Consider the following 12,166-nt stretch of genomic DNA (forward strand, 5'->3'; position numbering starts at 1 on the left):
GAAATAGGATTTTATGAATCATGGACACCCCCTGAAAGTCACATTTAGTATAATTTACTATCCAAACACATGGCCAGGCCTGGGGAAATATTTGTTCTTACCTCTCAGTTATAAAAACCTCAAATACAGAGCTGAGAACTCCAAGGGATAAAACCAGGATATGTAGACATGCTTTCACTGAAAGGGTTCATGTGTGATTTCAGCAGGATAAGCACAAAGCTTACACTGACTACTGCACTCCAAAAAAAAGGATGCATTCCGTGTAAGAAGAGAATTCCCTGGACTAACGTTCCCACTTAGCCTTCACCATTGGAGATCTGCAATCTCCCTGATATCCTCCTAGATCTGAGGATGGAAGGAAATGAGACAAACCCAAATGACACCATTGTATTCTCTGGTGTCTGTTCTTTAAATGGCATGTCACAGGTTTCAAGAATCCATGGAGGTTGCGATTCGTCTTTGTGTAGTGCAAAGATGTGTGGATGAAAAGATGGCTCTGCTCTGCCTCTCATTGCCACTATTAGCAACAGCCAGTCTCTAGCTCTGATCATTGAGCACTAGCTAATTCGGAAGCATGCCCTGGTACTGTGAAAGTTAGCCTTCTGCAGAAGAGGCAGGTTGGTTTTCAGATCTTGCCAAAGGAAGGTTGGATATGGGGTCTCTTAATAGAGTCTTTGGGTCTTGCAATATGCTTACAGTTAGGGGTTTCTACTGAAGGGTGTATGGGGAAAAACTCTCTTTCTAACTGCATTTTCCCTCTACTCTGACACCACCACAACAACAATCATCAACACAGAAGACTTCCCAACACAGAATGTGTGGAGTTTTTCCCTACACACCAAGCAGCAGACTCCAGCTGGGTGTCCTCCAATTCAGTTCTGATGCTACCTACCCAGAGATAGTGTCAGATCTGGCCTGTTGGGGGCTCAGTCCCCAACATTGCTCCCCACACCCCCCAGACACCAGTCGCAAGTCTGGGCCTCTGAAACTTCTGACAAACTGGCTTCAAGTTGAGGTTCCCAAAACTCCTTCTTGGAGTTCGATTAATTGGCTGAAAGGATTCACAGAACTCAAGGAAATAATTACTTACACTTACCACTTTATTATAAAGGGGATTACAAGGGATACAGATGAAGACACATGTAGGGCAAGGTATGGGGAAAGGGGTATGGAGCCTACCTGGTGCCCTGGGTTCAAGAACCTCCACATGTTCAGCTATCTGGAAGCTCACTGAACCCTGGTCCTCTTGGGTTTTTAAGAAGGCTTCATGACATCAGCATTCCTTCCCCTGAGGTATAAGGAAGGACCCTCTCTTGGGAGGGGCTTAAGGCCCACAATCAGAAAGGCAGGGAACATTAGAGTCCTGCCTTAGGCAAGGTGAAAGGAGGGCAGGAGAAGGTCCAGGGCTGCCCCTGAGACCTCACACACCTAACAGTGTAACGAAAGACTGGAACAAGGGCTATGGGAGTAATGAGCCAGGAACTGTGGCTGTAAACCAATATGTGTGTGTGTGTGTGTATGTGTGTGTGTGTGTAAGGAAGGGAGTGAAACTCAAGGAAGAAAAGCCTGATCACATCTGCTGGCTCTTGATTAAGTGGAAGGGAGTGAGTTCTGGAAACTTCTTCAATCACCTATCATTGCTCTTAGCCAATCATAGACCACACTTGTGAAATCTAAGTTGAGGAAAAACCCACAGAAGGGAAACATTCCTATATAAAATTTTTTCCCTGATGTTTAAACTACCTTAAAACTAAATTCCATAGTGTTTAAGCCACCTTAAAACTAAAAATTAAATGAATATTTATTGAGTCTCTACTATATGCCAAGTACTGTGCCACTTCCTAGAGACAAGCAGTCAACAAAAACAGATGCAGTTTCTATCTTCCTGGAGCTAATGCTCTTATGAGAAGACCTAGTGCGTGAGCAATTGATAAATAATAGCATCTCTCATAGATGCCTGCAGAAAAGCAACGTGGTGCTTGGAGAGCATAACAGAGAGGGGTTTAGCTGAGTCCCAGAGACCATGGAACAGTTCCTTTAAAAATGAAGAACTGAACTGAAATTTAAAGAATGGCTAAGAGTGAACTCAGCAATGGATCAGGGTCAGGATAATATAAGCAAAAGAACAAGCTTCACTAAAGCCAGTGAGATCAGAGAGAGCTAGACAAGTGTAGTGGGAAATAACTTGGATCAGTGACTCAAAACCTAAAAATGTATCAATGCTGGGGCTTCAGGCACTGTGATAGACAGAGGGAGAAATTTTAAGGACAGGTGACGATTGTGTTGTCCTCAAATTGTGCTACATGTGAAGCCAACTACATGATATGCTCATGAGTCCACCCCACCCCGCAAGTCCTCCCTGGACTCAGCCTTTCAATCAGAATAATGAGATGATCACTGTAGCTCAGAGGAACGAAGTATAATTCAAGACCTACATGATAGAATAATAGAGTTTTGTAACTGAAGGGGTCCTCTGAGGTCAATTAACCACGCCCCTCATTTTACAGATAACCAAAGTGAGGCCCAAAAAGATTGAGCTGCTTGCCCAATGTCACACCCCTAGTTAGTCGTGCAACACAGACCAGATTTCTGCCTCTTAGTAACTATGTATTTCTTCCTCCTAAGGTCAGGTGCCACAATGTACTTCCCAGCACTCACCTATTTGGATACATCCATGCCAGCTGTGATAGGCATGTTTTCACACATTTGCCCCACCCATACCCCCTTATGGTCGACTTTTCCTCCTGGCTATAGCCCTTCTTGTCCTAAATTTATTTGGTACCATGTGAACTGTGCCCTACCTCATACCCGGGTACAGCTGATTGTGTCACAGTGGGAGCTCTGGAATTAACAGGTATTGTCTCTGCCATGCTTCATTCTATCACTCTTTCCATGTTTCTTTGGAATCTAAACTCTTCTTTCCCATGGACAATTCTTCATCCCCACTCCCAGTCCTGGCCTAGTCACTCAGACTATCCCACCAGAGTACTTTCTAGGACTTTTCTGCTGTAGCTATTGAGAAAGTTCTACAGTCACCAGAGTAGACCCACTTTCTCCTGAGAGATGGGGAATCAGACAAGGTAAGTGAAGCCTGTGGATTCAGCCAAAGCTGAAGCCAGCTGTACCTATTTTAGTAATGTGAGCCAATACATTCCTTTTTTAAAACTTAAGTGGTGTATTAATTCATTCTCACACCACCATAAAGAACTGCCTGAGACTGGGTAATTATAAAGAAAGGAGGTTTAATTGACTCACAGTTCCACATGGCTGGGAAGGTCTCAGGAAACTTAACAATCACACCAGAAGGCACCTCTTCACAGGGTGGCAGGAAATAGAAGCAATCAAGACAAGAACTACCAAACACTTATAAAACCATCAGCTCTCATGGGAACTCACTCACTATCATGAGAAAAGCATGGGGGGAACTACCCCATGATCCAATCACCTCCCACCAGGTTTCTCCCTCAACACCTGGGAATTACAATTCAAGATGAGATTTGGGTGGGGACAGAGAACCTAACCATATCAAATGGTTTTTATACTGGGTTTCTGTTGCCATAGCACCAAAAAATAACTGGAATACACAGTGAAAGAGCTGCAATAGATGAATTTTTTTTGAAAGATGAATTAGTTGACCTGCTACCAAGTAGAATTTTTCTCTCAAAAATTTATAGTGATATACTCAGTGGTCATCCTTTAGTCAAACAATGTGCAGGAAGTCTAGAAATATAAAGGTTATATGGAGTTGAGAAAGAAATTACTGCTGAAACAAGGCAACACCTGTCCAAGCTAAGGTAATGGGAAACCAAAACAGAGCCAAATTGCCTGGGTCTGAGACCCAACTCTGCCACACGCTAACTACATGATCCTGGGTAAGCTTCTCTACCTCCACATGCTTCATTGTACTCATCTGAGAAGGGTATAAAAATAGTACCTGCCTCAATGGGGTTGTTGTGAGGACTAAACACACAAATACATGTGAAGCATTAGAACAGAGCTTGTGCAGATTTAATAGTAAGTGTTAGCTATTATTATAGGTATTATGTGATTATTGTTATTAAGATTATGGTTAAGCAGAAAAGCCCAGTGGACAGAAAGGAGAGTGGGCCTGGCATAAAGAAGCTAACAGTCATATGGTCATTGGGCCACAGAGGGAGAGACAGGAGTTGTCACTTCTCCAGTTCCCATAGGACCAGCCATACTTCATAAGCTTTCTGTATCCTCAAAACTACCCATCGACCCACTTTTCTTTTTTTAACTTTGGCCCCTCTGACTGGCTTTCTGTTTCTTGCCATCACACAAGCCTAGACAAAAGCATGGCATTTGCACAGCACGATGAAGGACCAACCAGATGGCACTGCCCTGCTCCGCACCATCAACTGTGCCCCAGCTTTTCTCTAACATGTATTCTCTCCTTCAAAATCCATCTTAGTTCTGCAAAAACAGCTCAAAAGCAAATGCTTCCCAGCAAAGCCAACATCATCTCAGCCATGTGGAAGGCATGTTATGCCAGCCATAACACAGTGGTTGCCATGGCTTGTAAGAGGATGAGAGGGGATCCTCGAAGTTTCCACCTTCGAAGGGCAGGTAGATCATTTCCTCTCTAGGGATCAGGCATCCAGGATTGCCATGTGAATCCAAAGTCTTTCTAACACTCTCTTTGCTAAGTTCTATTCATAGAAAACCTTGGCCTGCCTCCAGGTCCATGTCACATTGTTTGTGACAATGAGGAATGAGGATGTACTCAGCTTTTTCAGAAAAACAAGCTCATGTTTTCAAGACATTAAGGGCAAAACTTTTCCCACAGCATAGAGTGAAGTCCTCTTCATCATACCCAAGGTGCATCATTCCAAAACTCACAAACAAAACGCCCCCTACAAAGAAATCCCAAAGCCACACACATTCCAACTTCCTGGTCAGTAAACAATGTGTCTGAGAAGATTTACCCCGATGCCGGGCCCAATTCCTCCCCAGGAAACGGACTCTTTCTCGTACCTTTTCTCTCCTTACTTCAAAACACATAAAAGACTAAATGAGGGCAGCTGAGTCCACACTCAAGGACAAGAAAACAGCCTCTGGGAGAAGTGAAAATTCTGACCCTGTTTTTCCATCTGAATTTTCACCCATCAAGCTAAGGCAGGTCTAAACATTCTCACTCATCCTGAGATTCCAGAATTTCAGAATTACAACCTTGACATACCAGGACAGTCTCTGTAACTGCTACCAACCCACAAAGATGGAAACACAAATTCTCCTCTACATATGGTGGGGTTACACCGCAGTAAACCCATTGTAAGTTGAAAATATCATAAGTTGAAAATGCATTTGGTGCATCTAACCTGCTGGACATCACAGCTTAGCCTGGCCTACCTTAAATGTGCTCACAACACTTACATTAGAGCAAAATCATCTATACAAAGCCCATTCCATAATAAAGTGTTGAATGTCTTATGCAATTTATTGGATACTGTACTGAAAGTGAGAAACAGAATGGCTGTATGGGTATTCAAAGTATGGTTTCTACTGCATGGGTATTGCTTTCACAAGTTTGTAAAGTCAAAAAATCATAAGTTGAACCATCATCAAAGAACCATCTGTATAGAAATATAACAGTTATCAACTACAGTATTCCTCTGAAAATTGATTATTAATCTTGCTTGAATAGGAACAAAATAGATAAACATAGCTAATTCCTTCTTTTTACTGCCCGGAAAGTAATTGCACATAAAAGAAGATAACCATTGACTAGGTGTGGTACTTTACAAGTGACAGTGATCATAGGGTTAAAAAGAGCCTTGCATCTACCCTGGGAACTCCTCCCCAGCATCCCTGGCATATTATCTCACTTGGGTGTGGACACCTCTAATCATTGCCTTTACTTGCTGCAGGAGTTGGAGCCAGTATTTTTTTTTAAATACTTTAAGTTTTAGGGTACATGTGCACCACGTGCAGGTTTGTTACATATGTATACATGTGCCATGTTGGTGTGCTGCACCCATTAATTCATCATTTAATATTAGGTGTATCTCCTAATGCTATCCCTCCCCCCTCCCCCCACCCCACAACAGTCCCCGGTGCATGATGTTCCCCTTCCTGTGTCCATGTGTTCTCATTGTTCAATTCCCACCTATGAGTGAGAACATGCGGTGTTTGGTTTTTTGTCCTTGTGATAGTTTGCTGAGAATGATGGTTTCCAGTCTTGACATGGTCCTCCTAGGCACTGCTTCACTTCCACCTGCAAAAGCAGGTGTTCTGGCACCTTAATGAGGCAGACCTCGGCCTTTCCTGCTGCTTCTGGGTGTCACTGCTCCCATGCAGACTCAGGGATGGGGCACAGCATATGTAGGGCCTCCTTCAAACTACAGGGCATGGAGCAAGGGGGCAGTACCATTCCAAGCATATTTCGTAGGAGTAGCAGCTTTTCAAAGTTTTTCACAGGTGTTATATTGACATACTTATTGTAAAGACAAGGAGGAAAAGGAAGCAACATGGAATGGGTGAACAAAATATCAACGATCATTTTCTAACATTTATTTTGACTTAATTACAGAAAGAGAGAAAATCTTCAAAAATAGAAAGGAAAAAACGACCCATAAACCCTCTGTACGGATTCTTTAAATCTTAATGTTTTATCACCTTTATTTTATCAATCTCTTTCTCAATATGTATATATTTATATTATATGTTGTCTGTCCTGTTTGAGCATAAGTTGCAGCCATTTAGGTGACTTTGACAGGAAGAGAGTTTTTAAAAATATACTTCAAGAGAAAGAAGAGAAAATCATAGATATTAAATAAATCTTTTAAAAGACAATTTTGTCTTAAGGCAATTGTGAATAATAATGTTTTTGTCTTTGACACCAAATAAATCATTTCAGTTTAAAAAAATCACTGGTCAGATACTGAGACAAGTGAAGGGGCAGCCAAAGGGTGACTGCTTCCCCCAACCATCCCCCGATGGCCCAGCCCTTCCCCCGACACTGGTTCTATCTATGCCCCCGCTCCATCCATTGAGGAGCTTCATCCAACTCCAAAGACATTTGAGGAACACACTGGTGCTTCTTCCAAAAGTGCCATTAACACAGGTGACTTCAGGTGGGCCCCTATTTCCTAACTCCACAAAACCACAGGGCAAGTTTCTTGGTCCCCCAAGGCACTCCTTCCTGCCTAAATTCTACTCCTAATTATCATCTTATATATATGTGATGGGGTTCAGGGCATGCCACCCCTAAAGATTACTGTAGAAGACCAGAATATGTCACCCTAAATATGCCTCTGTGGCACAAGGATTATTTTGAGCTGGTTATTTTGGAAAACAGCCGACACAGGAGTAGCTCTGAAAAGTTGCCCTATTTTTATAAGAGAAATTTACATCTATAAGGAAAGTCTGCATTTGTTAGGGTGTCTTTCTGTCTCTGTGCCAGGAAGAGAAATACAGCTAAATCACTAGAGATGCATAATCAACGGAGAAGGCATCAATTTACCTCTGCAAAACAAGCCCTCATTTTACAGTGCTTTTCCTGGCCATCTATCTCATCTTCACCAGGTCTTTCCCCACACTCTTCTTTCCTTGTTTCAGCAAATGATGGTATTTCAGCCTGAAGTCTAAGACACCTCTTTGAGATCTATTCCAAAAATGTACTCATTTTTCTGGGTTATCTCCCATGTATACATGTTATTAAACTGCTGTTTGTTTTTCTGTTATTGATCTGTCTTTTGTCACAGAGAGTCCCAGCCAAGAACTATACAGGGTAGACAGAAAATTATTTTTCCTCCCCTAAATACATCTTGGTTTTCACCAAAACAGTACTGCCCAAGTTAATGAACATCTCATTGGCCAGACAGGACTCTAAGTGGTTTTGACTACATCCAAAAATGAAATCCGTCTACAAGGAAGAATATTTGTCACAGTTGAGCTATTCACTAAAATGGGCCACCAGGCCTGAGGTTAACCCAAAGAGGAGCTTCAAAGAGCCTTGGAGCAATGGAGCAGCACTGGAACACAAAGAAAGCAACTGTAGTTCTTTATCTCAGCGGCAACAATCTGGCAAAAATATCTATTAGCTCTGGCACCTGCACCACCCATGCTGCCCTGTGCTCTCCGAACCAGTTGATTCAACAGGTGGTTTTTTTGTTTGTTTTTGTTTTTGTTACCATTTTGGGAGGCATTCTATACCTACCCATAAATTACATTGTTGTTGAAGTTAGTCAGTTTTTTCACTTTTCTGTTTTGTTTTACTTGCATCCAAAGAAACATAAACTACGGCACATGATTAAACTATGCACCTTTGCCTTTCAGTATTCTTTGTTCCGTCTCTACAGCTATTCCAGTTTTCTATGTTCCATCTCCACAGCTTCTCCACAGGGCTTCTTAAAGACGGAACCATAACTTTTCATCTTCTCACGCTGCTTCCATTGACATAGTGCAGAATAAATGTTCCTCCACCAAGACTGTCTAACTAAGTGCTAATTGGTAAAAGATTAAATAGCCCTGAACTAGACTTACTCGACTTTCTCCTAATTTTTAAAACTGGATATTGCTTTTATATCAATTTATTGAAAAGAGTCCAGTTTCAAATTCCTCTAGTTTCTATAAGCCATAAAACAATTTCATGAAATGGTATTCAAAATCAACGTGTCTCCAGGCTCAGATCTGTCAGCAGCTCTGATGCATTAAATAACTGGAAAGTCAACCACGATCCTGGATTTCCTAGGTTGTTTTCAAACCAAGAACTTTACTGGTGCCAAGACTAGCAGGAGTTCCTGAACTGGCCAACATTCCTTGAATTTCCTTTGAGAGGTGAAAAAAAAAATAAAAGGGTAGCTTAAAATGCATTATATAAGAAAGAAAGGTATGAGCAACTTAAGGGGAAACTACAAAGGAAGCGGGCCAAGTCCCAAAATAAAAGGCAGGAATAGAAGACTAAAAATAACACACAGGGAAGTGTGCCACATCTGTAGGGGTCCCTTGCATTCTCCTGAAGCATTGTGCCTTTTTTTTTCTCAAGAGCATGCTAATAATTGTGTGGAGATTTAAATAGAACGCTACTATTTGTTCTTTAAAAATAGTCACTTCTTTTGTAGGATTGTGAGAGTTTCAGATGATATTAATTGAATTTCACTCATTGCAATTTTCTTTCTATGGATATCTTCAAGTTTGCTAAGAAGTTAGTAGATTTTCTTCAATCTTTTTATCTAGCCTTCTTGAATAGAAAATGTAAAATATTTTAAATATTTCAGTCTTGTGGCAAATTATTGGACACTTAAAATACAAAAAAAATGAGGTTGGCTTTTATAATAACACAAATTATCTGCCATCTATTGGAAAGATTAGGATATGGCAGACACAGTGTTAGAATTCACTGGCATATCTAAAACATGTGCAAAGATTCTTACAACTTTGCACATGAGCCATTACCCACACTTCACACACAACACACTGAGAGGCATCGTGGTTGAATAACCCATCTGAGGCCAATAGCTACTGAGTAGTGTAGTGGGTGAATCCTGCCTCCCTCTGACTCAAAAACGCTAGAGTCCTTGTCCTTCCACAGTACTTTAAGATGATCAAAAATATTTTTTAAATAGGCTAATTATGTATAGTTAGCTCAGAGCCATCAGTAGGATATCTGTTGCTCTCTTAGTCGGTTTTGCTTACTTTGGAAAACGTAAAATTGGATTTATATTTAAATTCCACACATCTCATAACTAACATAGGTACCATTCCTCCTGGGTATAAGGTTCATCTTCCACCACTCAATCAACTATTCGATTATTATGACAATTATTTTTCTCCCTTAGGAGAAATATGTTACGATAGATTTTAAGAAAATGGGAACCTCATATAGTGGGAACTGTCTAGGAGAGGTCATTCACGATGTGTGTTTAATAATTGCTTCCAAGTTGTTAATTCCTGTTTTCTCTAGACACAACAGAAACAGGAAATATTTACCAACTTCACAGGTGTCAGGAAATACTTTTAAAACCCTGGTAGCCTGGGTCGCCCACTGAAGCAGATAGCTTTTCTGCGCATAGGTGCAGAAGGTACATTGTAATTTAAAATGTGTACTTTGGTCCAGATAATCTAAGGATTCACAGGCATTGCTTCTGTTGAACCAAGGATATTTTCCAGAAGAGAGTTGCAGTGTATGCACATGTGCTTTGTAGCCTTTCTAGCATTTACTAGAAAACTAGAATTCTCTACATTTACTTAATTTGAAATTCTATTTCCATATCTAACAATGTGCCAAGATGAAAAAATACGTCTCAAAACTACTGAAATATAGGATCATGTTCTTAAGTCACATTTTGTGTAGTAAGCCACTGACTTGTTTTGACATTGCAGTCTACGTTTTCAAAAACTGGACAGAGCTCCATTTTTTCCTAATTATAAAAGTAACTGCAAAAATTTCAGAAAACAGCTAAAAATATAAAGAATAAAATAAGTGTCACTGATAACACCTGGATTTATAGCCGTTTAAATATTTTTTCACAAAAATAAGACTATTCATATGGCATTGTAACTTACCTTTTTTTGCTTAATATACAGTAGAAGTGCTTTTAGGCAAACTTCACTTAATCATCTCACTGAAATCACCAACCGTGTCCATTCTCTCCCCCAAAACACAAAAGTATCGACATGGAGTACACTGATGGACCAGGCTGGCAGCACCCCCCAACCCCGCCCCACCCGGGATGTACCTGTTACTTGCACTACCACTGTTGAATTAAAAATATACCAAGAGATCAACTTTTTTTTAGCTCCCACATATGAATCAGAACATGTGATATTTGTCTTTCTGTTCCTGACTTATTTCACTTAACATAGTGTCCTCCAGTTCCATCCATGTCGATGTTAATGACAGAATTCATTCTTTGTATAGCTGAGTGGTATTCCATTATATATATATGGATAATATATGCATATATATTATATATTATATATGTGATATATATATATATATACACCATGATCTACACCATGATATATAAAATGTGATATATATGATGATATATATCATGGTATATATCATCATATATATCATGGTATATATCATCATATATATCATGATATGTATCATTATATATACTATGTATACACATTATATATCACATTTTATTTATCCATTCATTCGTTGATGGACACTTAGGTTAATTCCATATCTTTGCTATTGTGAACAGTGCTGTAACAAACATTGGGATGGAGGTATCCCTTTGATATATTTTCCTTTGATTTCCTTTCCTTTGGATAAATAAATACCCAGTAGTGGGATTGCTGGATCATATGGTAGTTCTATTTTCAGTTTTTTGAGAAATGTCCATGCTGTTTTCTGTAGTGGCGGTACAAATTTATATTCCTACCAACAGCTTATAAATTATATTAAGTGAAATAAACCAGGCACATAAAGAAAAATATTGCATGTTCTGACTCATAAGTGGGAGCAAAAAAAAAAAGTTCATCTTGTGGAAGTAGACAGTAGAATGAGGGGTGGAGAATGGTTGGGAGCAAGCGGTAGGGACAAAGATTGAGGTCAGTTAATGGGTACAAACATAGAGTTAGACAGAATAAATAAGCCCTAATGTTGGATAGCAGAGTAGGGTGACTGCAGTTAACAATAATGTACTGTATATTTCAAAATAGCTAGAAGAGAGGATTTGAAATGTTCCCAACATATAAATATGATAAACACTCGGGATGATGAATACCCTAAATACTCTGACTCGATCATTACACTTTCTATGCATGTAGCAAAATACCACATGCACCCAACACTCAAGATGATGAATACCCTAAATTCCCTGACTTGATTATTGCACTTCCTACTCATGTAGCAAAATATCACATGCACCCCATAAAAATGTACAAATACTATGTGTCCATTAAAAAAATTTTAAAAGCATACTGAGTCTGCTGCATTTGTTCTCAAACCTGTTTGTGCAGTTATCACTGTTATATAACTTAATTAAATATTACATACATCAGTAAGCTAGCAATGCAAGAGAATTGTTATTTCCATGAATATTAAGGTGAATGTTTTAGGGAAATCTGATAAAAGTATTACTTTAAAAAACAGCTGCTCTCAAATTAGGGAGAGGGGAGTCATGAAAATCTAGGAGTCCACACTCTGATTGTGGTATAGTCAAGAAAGATGATGTGCACTCCTTCT

The 12,166-nt window shown here is 39.9% G+C and overlaps 1 annotated feature.

Moving 5' to 3' along the window:
- Positions 4,542-4,836: a silencer, noted in NCBI's record as "tiled region #7071; K562 Repressive non-DNase unmatched - State 24:Quies". NCBI's record gives its function as "represses a minimal TATA promoter and a strong SV40 promoter by Sharpr-MPRA in K562 cells {active_cell/tissue: K562}" and the evidence as "EXISTENCE:reporter gene assay evidence [ECO:0000049][PMID:27701403]".

The sequence above is a fragment of the Homo sapiens genome, chromosome 5, assembly GCF_000001405.40.
Source record: "Homo sapiens chromosome 5, GRCh38.p14 Primary Assembly".
NCBI lineage: Eukaryota > Metazoa > Chordata > Mammalia > Primates > Hominidae > Homo > Homo sapiens.